This window comes from Homo sapiens, chromosome X, assembly GCF_000001405.40.
Source record: "Homo sapiens chromosome X, GRCh38.p14 Primary Assembly".
NCBI classification, from domain to species: domain Eukaryota; kingdom Metazoa; phylum Chordata; class Mammalia; order Primates; family Hominidae; genus Homo; species Homo sapiens.
The window spans coordinates 25,802,514-25,824,301 of record NC_000023.11 but is presented as its reverse complement, the minus strand read 5'-3'; the positions used below and the strand labels follow the sequence as shown (position 1 = coordinate 25,824,301).

The 21,788-nt window shown below is 36.4% G+C and overlaps 1 long non-coding RNA gene across 1 annotated transcript in view; it reads right to left on the bottom strand.

Moving 5' to 3' along the window:
- Positions 1-5,489, bottom strand: part of LOC107985707 (uncharacterized) — a 63,493-nt gene extending 58,004 nt beyond the window's left edge. The window contains exon 1 of the long non-coding RNA XR_001755821.2: positions 5,020-5,489. This is a non-coding gene — a long non-coding RNA (uncharacterized LOC107985707). The remainder of the gene's footprint in view (positions 1-5,019) is intronic.
- Positions 5,490-21,788: the final 16,299 nt, after the last annotated feature.

Here is a 21,788-nt window from a genome sequence, read left to right as displayed (position 1 = left end):
AATATATATAATATATTATCATATAAGATATATAATATATATTATATATTATATAAGGTATATAATATATATAATATATTATCATATAAGATATATAATATATATTATATATTATATAAGATATTTAATATATATTATATATTATCATATCAGATATATAAGATATATTATATATTATCATATAAGATATATAAGATATATTATATATTATCATATAAGATATATAAGATATATTATATATTATCATATAAGATATATAAGATATATTATATATTATCATATAAGATATATAAGATATATTATACATTATCATATAAGATATATAAGATATATTATATATTATCATATAAGATATATAAGATATATTATATATTATCATATAAGATATATAAGATATATATTATCATATAAGATATATAAGATATATTATATATTATCATATAAGATATATAAGATATACATTATCATATAAGATATATAAGATATATTATATATTATCATATAAGATATATAAGATATATATTATCATATAAGATATATAAGATATATTATATATTATCATATAAGATATATAAGATATATATTATCATATAAGATATATAAGATATATTATATATTATCATATAAGATATATAAGATATATATTATCATATAAGATATATAAGATATATTATATATTATCATATAAGATATATAAGATATATATTATCATATAAGATATATAAGATATATTATATATTATCATATAAGATATATAAGATATATTATATATTATCATATAAGATAGATATATTATATATTATCATATAAGATATATAAGATATATTATATAAAATATATAATATTATATAAAATACATAATGTATATAATTATATAAATATTATATTTATTTATATATTTTTGTTATTTATATATTTATTTATATATTTTATTTTTATTTATATATTTTTATTTTTATTTTTTATTATATTATTATATATTATATATTATATAAAATATATAATATATATAATATATAATATATAAAATGAAATAATATATAATGGAACATTATATTATAATGAATATATATATTATATATAGTGAAATATATATAACAAAATGTTGCATATTATGTATAATGGAATATTACATATCATATATAACAAAATATTGTATACTCTATATAATGGAATAGTATATATTTTTTATATAATGGAATATTATACATATATATTAATCACACACCATACATTATTCATTCATACATTCATCCAGACACTTGGTTGTTTCTGTATCTTGTCTAATGTGAATAATGCTGCAGTGGACATGGGAGTATAGATATCTCTTTGAGATTATTATTTCAATTATTTTCAATATATACCCAGAAGTAATAGTGCTGGATCATATGGTAATTCCATTTGTAATTTTTTGAGGAACATCCATGCTGTTTTCCATAGCTGCTGTACTATTTTATATTCCCAACAACAGTGTACAACAATTCCAGTTTATCCAGATCCTCACCAACACTTCCTTTTTAATAGTAGCCATCCTAACAAGTGTGAGGTGATATTTTATTGTAGTTTTGATTTGAATTTTCCTGTCAATTAATGATTTTGAGCACATTTTCATATACCTTGTTGGTCATTTGTATGTCTTCTTGGAGAAATTTCTGTTCAAGTCCTTTGCCCATTTTTAATTGGGTTTATATGTTTATTTCCTATTTGTAGGAGTTCTTTATATATTTTTGAAATTAGCCCCTTATCAGATGTATAGTTTGCACATATTTTCTCCCATTCTGTAGGCTGCCTTTTCATTCTGTTGATTATATCATTTGGGGTGTAAAATATTTTAGTTTGATGTAGTACCATGATATTATTTGGCCCTCTGTCCCCACCCAAATATTATTTTGAATTGTACTCCCATAATTCCCATGTGTTGAGGGAGGAAACTGGTGGGAGATAATTGAATCATGGGGGCAGTTTCCCCCTACTATTCTCATGTAGTGAATAAGTCTCATGAGATATGATGGTTTTATTAGAGGTTTCCACTTTTGCGCCTTCCTCATTCTCTCTTTGCCTGTTGCCATACATGTAAGACAGGACTTGCTCCTCCTTGCCTTCTGCCATGATTGTGAGGCTTCCCCAGCCACGTGGAACAGTAAGTCCAATTAAACCTCTTTCTTTTATAAATTGCCCAGTCTCACGTATGTCTTTATCAGCAGTGTGAAAAAGGACTAATTCATAACACTTCTCTGTTTTTTCTTTTGTCGTCTAAGCTTTTGTCATCATATCCAAGAAATCATTGCAAAGACCAGTATCCAGAAGATATTCCCCTATGTTTTCTTCTTGAGGTTTTATGGTTTCAGGTCCTACATTTAAGTCGTTAGTCCATTTTGAGTTGGTTTTTATGTGTGGTGTAATATAGGGGTCTGATTGTATTCTTATGTATGTGAATATCCAGTTTTCCCAACACCATTTGTTGAGCAGTTCCCTTTTCTCACTGTGTGTTCTTGGAACTCTTCTCAAAGATCAGTTGGCAATATATGTACGGATTTATTTCCGTCCCTTGGTCCATATCTCCATCTTCATGCCAGTACCATATTGTTTTAATTATTGTAGCTTGTAATACATTTTGAAATCAGGAACTGTGATGCCTCCAACTTTGTTCTTTCTCAAGATCACTTTGTCTATTCTGGGTCATTTGTGGTTCCATATGAATTGCAGGATTGATTTTCTCTTTCTGCATAAAACATGCTATTCTAATTCTGTTGGAGATAGCACTGAATCTGCAGGTTACTTTGGGTAGTACAGACATTTTAACTTAAGTCTTCCAATGCATGAATACAGGATGTCTGTCATTTATTTGTGTATCCTTTAGTTTCCTTAATCAATGTTTTGTAGTTTTTAGTGTATACACCTTTCACTTCATTGGTTAAGTTTATTTCTATTTTATTCTTTTTGATGCTGTTGTAAATGGGATTGTTTTATAATTTCTGAGAGTTCATTATCAGTGTATAGAAATGCAATGACTTTTGTATGGTGATTTGTATCCTGCAATTTTACTGAATATTTTATTAATTCTAACAGTTTTTTTGTGGAGTCTGCTTTGTGAAATCTTTATAATCTATTGCCTAATGTCTGAGAAGTACAAAAGACTTGGGTTCTGTACATTATAATAAAATCTTTTTTATTTACATAGATAAATTCTTTATAGGATATTCTTTATAAGAGTACTAATAGTCAAATTTTACTGTTTAAATTCTATTTAAAGAGTTAAATAGAATTTCATATGCTTCAAGAGCTCTGGTGAAGATGTTGGGATATGGAATAAATATCTCAATCATTATCCACTTTTTAACCTGCATCTGAATAAATGTAGCTGCTCTTAGTCATCTCGGTTGCCATCATCACAGGTTCTATATAGCAATCAGGTGTGGCTAGTCAAAGTAGATTCAATTATACACCTATAGAATGTTTTTACTTATAGCACAAAAATGTCAACACAGATATATTTTGAATTCTATACAGTAGAATTATAGTATGTTAGAAAACTTTCTTAAACTTGAGCAACTCCGAAAGCTCTGAAAACCTTCTTACCCCGCATCCCTCACAGATTGTAAATGGTACATAGATGTCAGTGAGAAAACTCAATTTTATTTTTCAGAAAATTTTATTTCTGAAAAATAAAATTTTCTCAATTTTATTTTTCACCATGGTATGTTTGTTAAAAGTCCATTTCCAAGGCCAGAGAGTCTGTTGCTATTCAAGTAATTTTCCAGGTGTTCTGAAGAGGGACTTTATTCATGGTTTCTGTGTTGCTAAAACTTAATCACTTAATCTCCTACCAAGTCCTGAGATGGTACAAAGTAAATAATGTTTTACTGAACAACAAGGGGAAAGTTAATGAAAAGGTTAGGGAGGGGAAAGAAAAAGAGCAGGACCCCACAGAGGAAAAAACAGAATTGGACTTCTTCCATTTAGTTCTGGTATATCATGAAAACTAATGATATAACTCTCATGAACTGCATGCAAATCAGGGCATTAATCTCTAGCAGAATGGCTTATGTTATAGGAACCCACAAACAGATTTCCTTCAACTGCAGTAAATCAAACATGGTGGGTAGTTTCCGTTTGACTGATGAGTACACATGTCACTGGCGGGAGGGCAGTGACATATGGAAGAGCAATAAATATTTTTTTCTGACACTTCAGCAGCCCTTGTTCAATGACACTAAAGGAAGATAGAAGACTTCAAGAGAAAATGCAAGCCTGTCTGTATCAGCAGTTGTACCACTGCGGAGGCAGCAACTCCAAGGTGATATGGTGTTCTTTGGTGTAGCTTGCACATTTGTCTTAAACAAATGAGTAGTCTGAAAGCAAAGAATCAATAGTTCTCTCAGAACAGTGCTTGCATTTTCCTTCTAATTATGGCATTCTCTCAATAACTTAGATGTCCTTTAATAACAGTGATATTGGGCATCTTTAAATTCTATGACACGGTGCCCAACCAAATTTTGTTAAAGCCTTTATTCTTTGTCCCCTTAAACAATACAATCATAAAGAAAGAAAGTGTCTTTATAATTTCCCATTTTTAATGGGAAAAAATCAGGGACAAATGTGTTAAAATATATTACACATGATGCATGTTACATATTATATTATAATCCATGTCCAAGAGATTTTGAGGTATTTGGTTCCAAAATGCCTTTTACTAATTTTTCAACTACCTCAGCATTTTCCCAACCTCTTCAAATGTTATGATTATGTCACTGATTAAGCATGTTTATTAATTGCTACCATAATTCCCTCTAATAAATAGGCAAAATTGAACTGTATTAAAATATAAACCTGAGTTATTTGCAATTTGACACATGTGGCTTCTAATTCCTTGGGAACACCCACTGTCATGTACCAGAAGACACCCTTAATGTCAAGTGCTGAGTTGACTCAACTCATGGTTGACCAAACACATTTCAAAATGGACCTCTACCAATTCTGGTGCCAGGAACCAAGTATAGTGAAGTATAAATAACTCACGTGATTCAACCAGATTCTGTGAGCCAGTACTGGGAACGCAGAGTCCTGAGTTTGCCACGGGGGACTGATCCAACCAGACAGCCAGCTGTTTTCAGGGCTGCCAAGCAAATCACACAAAGAGATGTATGTGGCAATTAATAGCAATAGGAGACAGGCAAAGTATCCATTTTGAGATCCAAAGAAAATAAGCTGGGGAGGTATGGATACCACATCATGGTAAAAGTATTATAAGGCTCTTTGGTCATGTTACTAGGAGCTGTGTTTGCTTATTGAAAGCCCTTATTTCAATTTCCTGATTGCACATTAAGAGAAATTAACAAATGTGTCTTAGCCTCATATTTATTCAAAATTTCATACTCAAAATATAGGAGTATTATGGAACAGAAAAAGAGGTCAGAAATTTGGAGTTAAAATTTTCTTCTGCCACTAAGTATCTTTATGACACTGGGCAAATCACTTATCATTTGTATTTATTTATGACATGTTTTCGTTGTGCTAAATGAAACCTAGGGTAGTTCTACCTCTCAAATTCTGACATTTTAATTCTACTCATTATTGAAGAGATATATTTACAATCATATCTTTCTATTTAGCTGTTGTGTTATAATCACAATTTATAAGGAATCATTCTTGCTTATAAATTATGTTATGCATTCTCAATTTTACAAAACATATTTCAAGATTTAAAGTTTTCATGAATTGCAAGTGTCAATATACCTAACATATAATGTAGTTTTCTTCAATATACCTAATATATAAACATTACAAAACTAAAAATTAAAAAACTAATATATAAAAGCTAAAACATTTGACAGAACAGATAAAAGTAGAGAGATAACTCTTCACTATACTAAAAGTTAATTTTTTTCATCAATTAATTCAACAACTATTCATTGAACAAATACCATGAGCCAGATCCTGTATTAAGGGGCTTAGGATAGAGCAGTGAATAAGGAAGATAAGGACTTTATCTTCATAGACCCCATATGTTGGGGGGAATTAAAATCAGCTAGGGAATATTTGTATTGTCATTTATAAATGTCCTGTGCAGTGTAGTCCCTGTCCTAATGAAACATAGTTTAGCTGGAAGAAACATCGTTTAGCTGTAAAACAAGTGGTTACATGAATACTTTCACTCATGACAGGTGTTACAAAGAAGTGCAAGGAATAGAGGGAACATAAAACATTGGAAATGAACCTGCTCTGGGGATCAGAGGATGCTTTTCCAAGAAAGCGACTTTATCCTGTAAGATAAAGGAGAGAATTTTGCTTCTTAAAAGTGAGAAAAGCAAAAGGAAGAGGGAGGAAAAGAAGAGTGTTTCTGGTGTGGAGCATGTGCAAAAGCCTGAGACAGAATGGATTTTGGAACACTGGAGGAAATTAAAGGCCACTGAGTATTATTGGTGCAGAGTAACTGAGAGGTAGAATTGCAAATCAACACTTTGGGGAGATGGACAGTGATCGTATCAGCTAAGGCCTGGTTGCCAATTTTCTCATTTCTTTGATTTTAAAATAACAAATACATTTTAAATACAATTCAACCCATTTAAAATATTGTGTAAAATTGTTTAATATATATCTCTTTTGTAAAGTGAGAAAAATAATATGTAAAGCTGAGATTATCAAAATGTTTGAAATACTGATGTTAACCTGCCCCTGAGTATATATGCCATATCATTTTTATGTATGTGTGTGCACGTGTACATTCTATTACTGATAACTTCAGAATTGTATAAGCTCTTTCTCAAGGGACACATATGTCTCCTATAATACTCAAAATAAAAAACTATTTTGCTGGCAAAACATTTAAAAATATTATCTGGTTAGTTATGACGCTGCTGGGAAAGTGACATAAATTGTAAGGACGACATTAATTTTCTAGGGCAGTTCCAAACATTATATACTTAGTTCATGTACTACAGAGTAAAGAAAAAATTCTAGTGTTCCCAGCCCAGATTCTGACTCAAACATTTTATTTTTCCTCATGCAGAGGCTTAATCAGGCCAATTGAACACAATAAGGAATTCAATCTTATATTTATAAGTAATCTTGAATAATAAATTATTCATAGACATAAGAGAAATAAATTATCCTCCCTAGACATTGTATCATGAAGATATATACCCTTTATATCAATAAACTATCTGTAGAATTTACTCTGAAACTTAGGTATTCCAAAACTTAAGAGAAGCTCTTAGAAAGGACACCAACACAGCTAGATTCATTGATGAGGACTGGAATAAGACACAAAGCAATGCTCTTAGTGGCAGATGCCTCTAAATCATTCTATTTTCTAGCAAGCCCTGAAAACTTAGCTGCTCTGACATGAATCACACCCATTCCTTACATGAAGTACAAGCTAGGAACATGCAGCCAGAAATTGATGAGGGAAACAGTGCACTTTGAGTGTAAACATTTCTTTTTGAGGTTTTTAAATTTCCCATTTCAGTTCCATTAAGTCTAGCTATATTTCCACTTCTTTTCTTTCATCTTTTTTTTTTCTGATACATCCCTCTATCAAACATTGATAAATGTATGAAGTAAATACATGTATTAGTTTATTTTTGTGTAATATAATGTCACATTGTGTAAACTAAGGGTTCAAATTCCAATTCTGTATCTGACACCATTTTCATTTGTTATTTTTATTTTTCAGAATCTGGGGCAGAAAGTTCAGGCTTAAAAAAAATAGCAGTTAAACTCAATCTACCACATATTTTAGATTCAGTCTGTAAACAAGGAATAGTTTTTTTGTTTTTGTTTTTTCTTTTTATTCTTTGAATCTCAGAAGATTAAAGAAGAAAATATAAAACCCAATTTGGATCAACTTTATAACATGTTAAAATTAAAGTTTAAAACAAGAATCAATGCACAATGAATATTACATTTCAAAGTCAGATTACTACATGCAGAAATTATAGGCCAGATGCAGTGCCCTATTCCTATAATCTCAGCACTTTGGGAAGCCGAGGCAGGAGAATTGCTTGAGGCCAAAAGTTCAAGACAAACCTGGGCAACAGTGTGAAACCCCATCTCTACAAAATTAAAAAATTATTTGGGTATGGTGGTGCACACCTGTAGTCCTAGCTACTCGGGAGGCTGAGGCAGAAGGATCACTTGAGCCCAAGAGTTCCAGCCTGGGTGACAGAGCCAGACTCTCTCTCTGTCTCTCACCCTTTCTCTACCTACCTACCTACCTACTTACTTACTTATATGTGTGTGTGTGAAAATATGTGTGTGTGTGTGTATATATATATATATATATGAAATATTTTTTTAACTTTTGGATGCACATTGAAATAACCCAAGGAGCTCAGGAAAATACTGATGCCTCAGTTAGTTCTATCTCAAGGAATTATTACATTTGGCTGATATAGCTTGGGAACTGGGATTTTTAAAAAGCTCCCTGTATTAGCGTTCTCCAAAGAAATATAATGAATAGAGGAAAGAGAGTAAGAAAGAGAAAGAGAAATAGGTAGATGAGAGGAGATTTATCGGGGAAACTGGCTCACAGAATTATGGAGTCCGGGAAGTCCCAGACCATCTGCATGCTGCAGACACTAGGATATCAGTAATATCAGTAGCATGGCTCAGTCCAAGTCTGAAGGCCTCAGAACCTGGGGGACTGCTGGTGTTAAGTGTTGGAATCCAAAGACTGAAGAGCCTAGAGATCCTGTCCAAGGCAGGAGAAGAGTGTATCTCAGCCCCAGGGGAGAGAGAGGGGGAAGGGGAGAGGGAAGGGGAAGGAGAGGGAGGGAGAGGGGGAGAGGGAGAGAGAAGGAGAGAAGGAGAGAGGGAGAGAGAGGGATAGAGGGAGAGGGAGAGAGAAGGATAGAAGGAGAGAGGGAGAGAGAGGGAGAGAGAAGGAGAGAAGGAGAGAGGGAGAGAGAGGGATAGAGGGAGAGAGGGAGAGAGAGGGATATACGGATAGAGGGAGAGAGGGAAAGAGAGAGGGAGGGAGGGAGAGAGGGAGAGAGGGAGAGAGGGAGAGAGAGAGGGAGAGAGAGGGAGAGAGAGGGAGAGAGGGAGGGAGAGAGGGAGAGAGAGAGAGAGGGAGAGAGGGGGAGAGAGGGGGAGAGAGGGAGAGGGAGGAAGAGGGAGGAAGAGGGAGGGAGAGGGAGAGGGAGGGAGAGGGAGAGAGAGAGAGAGAGAGAGAGGGAGAGAGAGGGAGAGGGAGGGAGAGGGAGAGAGAGGGAGAGAGAAGGAGAGAGGGAGAGAGAGAGACCAATCAGACTTTCTTCTGTTTTTGTCCTTTCCAGGCTTCCAGCTGACTGGATGGTATCTACACACGTTGAGGGTGGCTCTTCCCCCACTTAGCCCATCTAGACTCACACACCAATGTCCTCTGAAAAGACCCTAACAGACATACCCAGAAATAATGCTTTACCAGTTCTCTAGGTATTCCTTAATTTACTCAAGCTGACACGTAAAATCAGCCATCACAAAATCACCCGTTGTCAACTTTGCACCCATTTGTATCTCCTTAAATCATAATTTCCTGCATACAACCAAAAATGCACTAATTCCTTTCTAGAAGAAAAGATAAAGTCATTGGGTGATGTTTACTCTTCTCCTGATATCCCATAACATATACTATACTTTTTTTTTTTTTGAGACAGTCTTGCTCTGTTGCCCAGGATGGAGTGCAGTGGCATGGTCTCAGCTCACTGCAACCTCTGCCTCCCGGGTTCAAGCAATTTTAGTACCTCAGCCTCCCGAGTAGCTGGGATTACAGGCATGCACCACCACCCCCGGCTAATTTTTGTATTTTTAGTAAAGACGGGGTTTCACCATGTTGGCCAGGCTGGACTCGAACTCCTGGCCTCAGGTGATCCACCCGCCTTGATCTCCCAAAGTGCTAGGATTACAGGTGTAAGCCACCATTGCCCAGCCTATGATATAAATTTAACAATACTTAAATACTGATATAAAGTCAATAAATTTTATGTTACATGATAAAGAAATAAAAGAAAGAATATGTACTTAATATTGAAAGCCACCATTTTAGCTAATAGTAATGATTCAGAGAACGTTAAGAGGATATACTTTCCAAATAATTAACCAATGTAGTTGCTCAATAAATATTTGTTGAATTAAATGAATAACCAATGTCTCAAATCCTAAGGCTAGTGAAATATTATGTAGGAATTCTGTTTAAACTAGTGAAATAGAGATTTACGTATCCCTCAGTTGATACTGCTTATGGACTTGCTAGGAATAAAGCCAGCTGTCTTTACAGTCTTTCTATAAGAAGTGTAAGACCATAGCTAGTTCTTCTGTTATTTATTGAATCATATACAGTGTAGGTTTATTAATGTCTAGATCAGCTATAATTTGATCATATGTGTAGAAACTTTTATTAAAGTCTAAAAACAATATTCTTGGAGTAAATGTTATCTGGACAGTACATTTCCAAAATAGATTCTACCTATTAAATTTGTAGGTGTTGTGTTACAGAAAAGTAAGGAGTATTCTTCTTATACAGGTCACAAAATAACAGTTACAGACCTGAATTTGGGAAATAATTTAGGACTGTCAGAAAGCTCTACCAGCTGAGAGGTTTTAGCAAAATAATAATTAATTATTTCAATTTCCCATCAAGCCTTCTACAATTTACTCTGTACCTGCACCCTTGTGTGTTACCATCACATTCACATTCTAGCACAACCAGAACTTTTTACTTCAACTATTCTTTCCTCTTTTGTACTTAACACCAGTCAATTTGCTTTGCTTCTTGTATTTCCAACAACTTTAAAACTCTAGTCTGAGGGATGCTCTACAGTATTGGGATTAAAAGCAGATACAGTGGCAGCATATCAACAAGAAAGTTGTGTTGTCCATACATATGGACAATTAACTTTGGGAGTTTCGAGAAGGACTGGGAATCACTGAATATTAATATCTCCCATGTAGCATCATAACTAGAGAGGTTTAGACAGTTGTCCTTTTCTTTAGCCAATAGTGATATAAATTCTTTCAATGGTCCTTCTGCTTGCAATATTATAAATGTCTCATTGATAGGCTCTCAATTTGCAGAGAAAAGATAACTTTTGAATTTTGTTATTTTATTCAAAGAAACAGTTATTTTATGTCATGGTCAGTTAATTTCTGCCTGTCAGCAAGGAAACTGTTTTCTTAGTTGGTTGATATTTGAAAAGACTGGGCATATTCTTTAATGACACTGGCTGAAAACCAATAAAAGACCTCAGTATCACTTCCAATGAGAGACATTCGTTATTATCCATATTAAGAAACTCCTCAAATTGCATTTCACAAAGTGATTATATTTCTGCTGAGGCTGTTACTCAATACTCTAGAAAAGTAGAAAGCACTATATTGTAAATTTCTTTGTGTAAACATCACTGTAATATTTAATAATGATTTACATAAAGTTTCTGTCATCTTCATCCACCTCACCATAACTCTTTTTGTTCATAAATAAGTGCAAGTGTAGGGTATATGGCCATTTGACAGCATATTTTTTTCTCCACACTGAGTACCCCAAAGGTTTAGGACAGATTCCTAAAATCCAGCAGAGTTAACAAGACTGAGATACAGAAAAGACTAAAGACATAAGGAAGAACTAGCCTACTGATTTCATTTGTTTCCGTCCTGTTACAGATTTGGCCTGGCAAAGTTTACAAACTCATGAAACTAAGCTCAATAATGTCCTCAAGGACAGGTATTGTTAAGTACAAGTGTAGTCCACCAATAGAGGAGCAGTTCTATAGGGAGGAGGCAATTACTTTGCAATTAGACAATCCTACTGTCAAATGCTAGCTCTACTACTTACTAATGATTTAACTCCTCTAAGCCGCAAGTTATCATTAGCACAATAGAAAGAAGTTTCTGAGAAAGCTGAGTGGTATTCAGTCAGTTTAGACTGTTATTCAGCAAATATTCATAGATCATTTACTGTATCTCAAGTATAACACAAGGGCTGAGAATATGAAAATGAAAAAGGCAGATTCTGCATTTAAGGGGACTAAGAGGTGACAGGGATACAGACTTATAAACCACTATAATAGAATATGGTAATCACTGTAATTACAGTGTGTGGTGGGTGGAAAGGGGAAGGAAGTCCAGGGATGCTTAGAAGAATAAAGGAACTCTCCACAAGGAAGATAGCCCTGGGCTGAGGCTTTGAGGGTTCAAATAAATTATTAGAGATACTATCTTAGGGATGGCATTCTAGACAGAAGGAAGAATGATATAAATGACATAAAGATATAAGATTAGTCTTGGGCAAGAGATTAATAGAGGATATTAAAGAACAGTTATAGAAAATTGCATTGGTCAGGGAAGTGAGGGCCAAGAATGAAGACACTAGTATATCATGCCAAAGAATCTGCTATTTTATTCTACAGGTGATGAGATATTTTGTGAAAATCTCAAGAAGAGATTAACTTCTTACAAAAAATATTTTATCCAAGAAAGATGATTATCAAAAGATTTTTGGAAGATGGATTGGAGATGGGTAAAAATTAAGGAAGAGAGAACAGTGAAGAGGATATTCAATGGTATGGGTAAGATATAATGAGTGGCAGAAGGGCTGGAGACAAAGTTCATAGATCAAGATATTAGTCATGGAGTAGAATGAATAAATATGTGTACACATGGAGTATGGGAGATAGGGAGAGCTAGAGCTAGGTTTAGGTTTGGAACTTGGACAACTGAATGGATGATATTGTTAATTAACAAGATAAGAAATTTCAAAAGAAGCAGGTAGAAATGAGGAGGTGGTGAATTTCATAATAAGCCTCCAGAATACAAGGTGTTTATGACATGTTCATTTGAAAGTGTAAACCATCTGGAAAATAGCCTGGCACATCATAGTCGATAAATTGTAAATCATCTTCATTTTGCACCAAGAAGAATTTTCATCAAGATACTGAATACATGTAAATTAACTTGAAGAAGAATAACTGATATCCTTTCAGTTTAATAACAAGTTCTTTTCTAGAGACATTGCACATGCTCGTCCTTTTGCCTATACATTTCTGCCTGCTCAGTCTTTCACATGGCCAGTGAAAGACTTCTTTCATGCTTCCAGTCTTGATTTGAACATCTACTAAGTCAGGCTTTTTCCGGTCATGCTAAGCAACAGTCTTTTCCCAACTTAGTATGTATTGTGTATTTCTATCTATAACCTTCATAGAAAATTTCTCAATTTTCAAATAAATAATTGATATTGACTTATTTTCTTATTAGATTATCTGCCTTTCCCACTAGATTCTAACCTAAGGTCTACACTGAATAAATGAATGAAATCAGTACATTCTGTTTTATTCTTAATTATTCAACTTGTGGATATAAAAATTATTTAAGTTGTGCATATTATAAATATATGCAAAACTCATTGTTTTCAGCTTTTGCTTATTTTACTCCTAAACATCTCAGAATAAAGCAGGGAAAGAAGAGGACGTTAATAAAACACAAGTAAAACTGTGAAATAGTCTTTTCCACAAGTATTAATAAATGCCTGAGGTTTTTGCACCATCCCATGGCAAATGTATTGATGATTAGAATTCTAACAATAACAAAAAAAGAACCAACAAGGAAATATCCCCAAGAGCAATAAAAGTCGAGAAAATCCTACTTGAGCATCTATTACAGAAAAAACACTGTACCATTTTTCACATGTGATAAAAATGATTTACAGTATCTTTCTTAAATGAATTTCCAATTTAGTAATGATGATAAGAAAATTACAAATGACTAAACCACATGGCAGAATGTAAAACAAACTATGAGAGATGTTCAAACACAGCAACATCAGAAACTATAAAAGTCATTTCCCAAGTCAGCAATGTGCTTTCTTAAAATATAGTGACATCATTTTTAATGTAAGCATAGACAAAGTAAAAATCCTGAGAGCAAGGGAGTGAGTCAGGCCATGGGAATGTGATGCTGTCTTTGGAAATACACGTCACAGAGTGTAATGCAATCATAGGATCAGAAACCACAGAATAAGTTCATGGTCTTTAGTGTATATTTGGTATCCATATCTTCTTTACCAAATTTTTGTGAGTTTTTAAGCATCTTAGTGAAAACAGTTTTAGTAAAATGTAACAGTGACTACAGAATACATTTTTAAGGAATTCCATATTCTACCTAGGGGGATGCTAAATTACTGCATATACTACTATGTTCTAATTGTTTTTCTTTCATGTAACTTTTGACTTTCAAATACACATAAAAGACCCATAATGTCTATAGCCTGAGAAATTATATTTGTGATTTTTATACTTATAGTCCTTGTACTGCTTACCTTGTCACCTGAGAAATACAAATCAATGGTCAATTCATTTCCTTAATGATGTAGGACCAAATAAAACCCATGCCAATTGTCCTGGTTGTGAAGTGATGAGAAATTTTGTCAAAGTAAATAGGATATGAAGACATCGAATGATACATTAAATAAGGTTTCAATGATAGAGTCATCTTTATCATTAATTCCACAAATTAATTATTAACTATCTGCTTCCAAAACTTTTCTTCATGTTGAATTTTAATACACCAGAATTTTTTTTTAAAACATAATGAAGAAATTCTACAGTAAAATTAAAAAATCTTACTTCTTTTGGCCAGGCGCAGTGGCTCATGCCTGTAATCCCAGCACTTTGGGAGGCCGAGGCGGGCAGATCACGAGGTCATGAGATCGAGACCATCCTGGCTAACACAGTGAGACCCCATCTCTACTAAAAATACAAAAAATTAGCCAGGCATGGTGGTGGGCGCCTGTTGTCCCAGCTACTGGGGAGGCTGAGGCAGGAGAATGGCGTGAACCCGGGAGGCGGAGCTTGCAGTGAACCAAGATCTCACCACTGCACTTCAGCCTGGGCAACAGTGTGAGACTCTGTCTCAAAAAAAAAAAAAAAAAATCTTACTTCGTTTACAACATAGCTCAGGCCAAAATTTACAATAATGCTTATGACTCCCATGACTATTGCTTTTAGATTAAGTTCAATGTCTGTATTCTTCCACATATGTTAATTTGTGTCTTAACAATTTAATGCAGTCATTTGATAATGAAATAGATCATTTTATTTCTACCATATTCATTATAGTTATTATTTTGTCAGTAATATTTCCTTATGTGTATGATTTCATTACAATTTTACATTAACTGGAAGAATTTACTGGTGTCAATGACTCCATTCTTTCAATAGATAGTAGCAATGCATTCTCTCTAGCACTCCACTCATCACTTTATCCTTTTATTAACGTTTTATTTATTAACATTAACTTTTATTAACATTATATGCATTAATAAAAAGTCCTATGTTACTCCTTAGAAGTCCTATGTTACTGACAAAGGATATAATAGTTGCGAATTACATGAAACTCCCTATTTATTTGTAAATGGTACAGCATAAAGAAATAATTTTCATAACAAAACATAATGCACTGTGGGGGTGGGAGGGTGGAGCAAGACGGCAGAACAGAAGGTTGTGCCAATTGTCCCTCAATCCCCCTGCAGGAACATCATATTTAACAACTATCTACACAAATAAGTCACCCTCGTAAGAAACAAAAATCAGGTGAGCAATCAGAGTACCTGGTTTCAACTTCATATTCCTGAAAGAAGCACTGGAAAAGGCAGGAAAAAAAGTCTTGAATTGCCAGTGCCACCCCTCCCCCAGCCCCATGGCAGTGACTGAGTAATGCAGAGAATCTGTGCATTTGGGATGGAAGAACACAGCAATTCTGAGACTTTGCATTGAACTCAGTGCTGCCCTGTCACAGCAGAAAGCAGAACTGGGCTGTATTTAGCTGACACCCATTCATAGATGGAGCATTTGGACCAGCCCTAGCCAAAGGGGAATCACCCATCCCAGTGGCTGGAACTTAAGTTTCTCTGCAGGCCTCACTACTGCAGGATAAAGTGCTCTGGGGTTCTAGGTAAACTTGAAAGGCAGTCTAGGCCACAAAGACTGCAACTCCTAGGTGAGTTCTAGTACTGAGATGGGCTCAGAGACAGCGGACACATGAACTGCTGAGACACCAGTGGAGGCAGCTAAGGGAGTGCTTGCACCACCCCTACCCCAACCCCAGGCTGCACAGCTTGCAGCTCCAAGAGACTCCTTCCTTCTGCTAGAGGAGAGAAGAGAAAAGAGGACTTTGTTTTACATCTCAGATACCAGCTTGGCCACAGCAGGATAGGGTACCAGTGAGAGTCATGAGTCCCACTTTCCAGGCCCTAGCTCCTGCCTGACATTTCTAGACATATTCTGGGCCAGAAGGGAACCTGCCTCCTTGAAGTGAAGGACCCAGTCCTGCCAGGACACATCATCTGCTGACTAAAGAGCCCTTGGGCCCTGAATAACCAGCAGCAATACCTAAGTAACATGCTATGGGCCTTGGGTGAGACTGAGATTCGCTGGTTTCAGGTGAGACTCAGCACATTCCCGGCCCTGGTGGCCATGGGGAGAGATTCCTCCTGAGAGAGAAAAATAAAGTAGACTTTTTCTTGTACCTTAGGTACCAGCTGGGCAGCAGTGGGGTAGGGTACCAAATGCCCTCTTGAGGTCCCCAATTACAGGCATTGGTTCTTAGACAGAATTTCTGGATGTGCACTGGGCCACAAGGGAGCCCACTACCCTGAAGAGTGAGTCCCAGGCCAGGCAGCATTTACTGCAAGCTGCCTGAAGAGCCCCTGGGCCTGAAAGGAACATCAGTAGTAGCCTGGCAGCACTCCCCATGGGCTTGTGGTGGTAGTAGCCATGGAATGAGGCTCCTCTGCCTTTGGAAAGGGGAGGAAAGAGTGGGAAGGACTGCGTTTTGTGGTTTGAGTGCCAGCTCACCCACAGTACAACAGAACACCAGGTAGACTTCTAAGGTTTTTGACTCCAGTTCCTGGCTCCCAGACAGCACCTCTGGACCTGCCCAGGACCTGGGGGAACTTGCTACCCTAAAGGGAGGGACACAAAACTGGCTGGCTTCACCACCTGCTAATTGTAGAGCCCCAGGGCTTTGAAAAAATAAACACAGGCAGTAGCCAGGTAGTGGTTATAGCAGACTGTAGGCAAGACCGAGTGCTGTGCTGGCTTCAGGACTGACCCAGTACAGTCTCAGTGCTGGTGGCCACAGGCCACAGGACACAGTGCCTGTGTCACCCCACCACCAGCTCCTGGCAGCTCAGAACAGAGACACAGACTTTTTTTGATTGGGAGAAAGTAAGGGAAGAGAACGAGAGTCTCTGCCTGGTAATCCAGAGAATTCTCCTGGATATTACACAAGATCATCAAGGCAGTACCTCTACAAGTATGCAAGTACCAGTGTTACTCAGCTTGGATTCCCCTAATACAAGCTTAAATCACAACACCCAGATCCTTTCAAATACCTGGAAAGCCTTCCCAAGGATGGGTACAAAAAAGTCCAGCCTGACAAAACTACAATAAATAACTAAGCAATGGCCAGACACAGATGAATATCCATAGGTATCAAGATCATTCAGGAAAACATGATCTCACCCAGTGAATTAAATAAGTATCAGGGATCATCCTGGAGAAACAGAAATATGTAACCTTTCAGACAGAGAATTCAAAATAGCTGTTTTGAGGAAACTCAAATTCAATATAACACAGAGAAGGAATTCAGAATTCAATTAGACAAATTTAACAGGGAATGAAATAATAAAAAAAGAATCAAATAAATTCTGGAGGAGAAAAATGCAATTGGCATGCTGAAAAATGCATCAGACTATTTTAATAGCAGAACTGATCAACCAGAAGAAAAAATTAGTCAGCTTGAAGACAGGCTATTTGAAATTACACCGTGAGAGGAGAAAAAGGAAAAAGGAATAAAAGAAAACAAAGAAACATGGCTACAGGATCTAGAAAATAGCCTCAAAAGGACAAATCTAAGAGTTATTGGCTTTGAAGAGCAGGTAGAGAAAGAAATAGGGGTAGAAATTTATTCAAAGGTATAATAACACAGAACTTCTCAAACCTAGAGAAAGATATTAATAACCAAGTACAAGAGGGCTAGAGAACACCAAGAAGATTTAACCCAAAAAAACACTACCTCAAGGATCCCAAAAGCACTAAGAGGAAAGAACCAAATAACATACAATGGAACTCCAATACATCTGGCAGCAGACTTTTCTGTGAAAACCTTATAGGCCAGGAGAGAGTGGCATTGAGAGGTGACAACGTGCTAGCAGCCCTTGCTCGCTCTTGGTGCCTCCTTGGCCTCGGCGTCCACTCTGGCTGTGCTCGAGGAGCCCTTCAGCCTGCCGCTGCGCTATGAGGGCCCCTCTATGGGGCTGGTGAGGCCAGAGCCAGCTCCTTCTGCCAGCTGGTGCGGGTTCCGGATGGGCGCGGGCTCGGCGGGCCCCCGCACTCCGCGCAGCTGGCTGGCACCTGCTGGGTTTGATTGGAGGCAGGGTCCCATGCATGGACCGCTGTTCCCTCTTCGTGGGGTTGTTGGCCACGATGACAGGTCTCCGTCTTTCTTGCTTCCCCTCGTTTCCTCTTGGTTGTCTGGGACTAGCTCCCTCTGGGCTGCCAGAGTGCCTGGGCTAGGTGCTGCGAAGTCCCACGGCAAGTGCCAGTGAGAGGTGAAGCCGGCTGGGCTTCTGGGACGGGTGGGGACTTGGAGAACTTTTCTGTCTAATTAAAGGACTGTAAATGCACCAATCAGCATTCTGTGTCTAGCTAAAGGTTTGCAAATGCAGCAATCAGCGCTCTGTGTCTAGCTAATCAGGTGGGGACTTGGAGAACTTTTGTGTCTAGCTAAAGGATTGTAAACACACCAATCAGCACTCTGTGTCTAGCTAAAGGTTTGTAAACGCACCAATCAGCACTCTGTCAAAATGGACCAATCAGCTCTCTGTAAAACAGACCAAACAGCTCTCTGTAAAATGGACCAATCAGCAGGATGTGGGTGGGGCCAGATAAGGGAATAAAAGCAGGCCACCCAAGTCAGCAGCGGCAACCCACTTGGGTCCCCTTCCACACCGTGGAAGCTTTGTTCTTTCGCTCTTTGCAAAAATCTTGCTGCTGCTCACTCTTTGGGTCAGCGCCACCTTTATGAGCTATAACACTCACCGGGAAGGTCTGCAGCTTCACTCCTGAAGCCAGCGAGACCACGAACCCACCGGGAGGAACGAACAACTCCAGACTCGCCACCTTTATCAACTGTTACACTCACCGCAAAGGTCTGCAGCTTCACTCCTGAGGCCAGCGAGACCACAAACCTACCAGAAGGAACAAAGAACTCCAGAAGTGCCGCCTTTAAGAGCTGTAACACTCACCGCGAAGAACTGCAGCTTCACTCCTGAAGTCAGCGAAACCACGAACCCACCAGAAGGAAGAAACTCCAGACATATCTGAATATCAGAAGGAACAAACTCTGGACACACCATCTTTAAGAACTGTAACACTCACTGTGAGGGTCCGAGGCTTCATTCTTGAAGTCAGTGAGACCAAGAACCCACCAATTCTGGACACAGCATGACATATTTAAATGTGTTGAAGGGAAAAAAAAACATACACACACACACAAACTTTTACCCTAGAATAGTATATCCTGTGAAAATATCCTTCAAACATGAAGGAGAAATACATGCTTTCCCAGACAAACAAAAGCTGAGGGATTTCACAAACACTGAACCTGTCCTACAAGAAATGCTAAAGAGAGTACTTCAATCAGAAGGAAAAGGACGTTAATGAGCAAAAAGAAATTATCTGAAGGAACAAAATTCATCGGTAATAGGAAATACACAGATAAAAACACAGAATATTAAAGCAATGTAACTGTGGTGTGTAAACTATTATCATAAGTAGAAAGACTAAAAGATGAACCAATCAAAAATAATAACTACAACAACTTTTCAATACACAGACAGTACAATAAGATGAATAGAAACAACAAAATGTTAAAAGGTGTGGGGAATGAAGTTAAGGCATAGAGTCTTCATCAGTTTTCATTTTGCTTGCTTGTTTGTTTATGAAAATAGTGTTAAGTTGTTATCAGCTTAAAATAATGGGCTATAAGATAGTATTTGCAAACCTCACAGTAACTTCAAATAAAAAGTAAAATGGATAAACAAAAATAAAATCAAGAAATTAAATCATACCACCAGAGAAAATTACCTTTGCTAAAATAAAGGAAGGAAGGAAATAAAAGAAGACCAGAAAAAAATAACAAAATAAGAGGAATAAGTCATTACTTATCAATAATAACATTAAATGTGAATGAACTAAACTCTCCCATAAAAAGACATAAGAGTGAACTAATTTACACTCCCACCAATAGTGTAAAAGCGTCCCTATTTCTCCACATCCTCTCCAGCATCTGTTGTTTCCTGACTTTTTAATGATCGCCATTCTGACTGGTGTGAGATAGTATCTCATTGTGGTTTTGATTTGCATTTCTCTAATGACCAGTGATGATGAGCTTTTTTTCATATGTTTGTTGGCCACATAAATGTTTTCTTTTGAGAAGTGTCTGTTCATATCCTTCACCCACTTTTTGATTGGGTTTCTTTCTTGTAAATTTAAGTTCCTTGTAGAGTCTGGATATTAGCCCTTTGTCAGGTGGATAGACTGCAAAACTTTTCTCCCATTCTGTACGTTGCCTGCCATTGTGGAAGACAGTGTGGTGATTCCTCAAGGATCTAGAGCCAAAAATACCATTTGACCCAGCAATCCCATTACTGGGTATCTATCCAAAGGACTATAGATCTTTCTACTATAAAGACACATGCACACATATGTTTATTGCAGCACTATTCACAATAGCAAAGACTTAGAACCAACCCAAATGCTCATCAATGAAAGATTGGATAAAGAAAATGTGGCACATATACACCATGGAATACTATGCAGCCATAAAAAAGGATGAGTTAATGTCCTTTGCAGGGACATGGATGAAGCTGGAAACCATCATTCTCAGCAAAATATCACAAGGACGGAAAACCAAACACCACATGTTCTCACTCATAAGTGGGAGTTGAACAATGAGAGCACATGGAGACAGGGAGGGGGACATCACACACCGGGGCCTTTTTTTGCGGGGGCGGGGCTAGGGAAGGGATAGCATTAAGAGAAATACCTAATGTAGATGATGGGTTGATGGGTACAGCAAACCACCATGGGACATGTATACCTATGCAACAAAACTTCACATTCTGCATATGTAACCCAGAACTTAAAGTAAAATTAAAAAAAAAAAAAAGAATGCCTGAATGAATTTAAAAAAAAAAGACCCAATGATCTGTTGCCTACAAATAACACCAAGAAACACACTTCACCTATAAAGATACACATAGACTAAAATTAAAGGGATAGAAAAGGATATTTTATGCCAATGGAAACCAATAAAGAGCAAGAGTCACTATACTTATATCAGACAAAACATATTTCAAAACAAAAAGTACAAGAAGAGACAAAGAAGGTCACTATATAATGATAAAAGGGTCAATACAGCAAAAGGATACAAAAAGTATAACTACACATACACCCAACATTGTAGCACCCAGATATATAAAGCAAATATTATTAGAGCTAAAGGAAGCAATAGACTACAATGCATTAATAGCTGGAGACTTCAGCATCTCACTTTCAGCACTGGACCGATCTTACTGACAAAAAGTTAACAAAGAAACATTAGACTTCATCTGCACCATAGAACAAATGTACCTAATAGATATTTACAGAATATTTCATCCAACAGTTGCAGAATACAATTCCTTTCCTTGCATATAGATTATTTTCAAGGATAGGCCATGTGTAAAGTCACAAAACAGGTCTTAAAACATT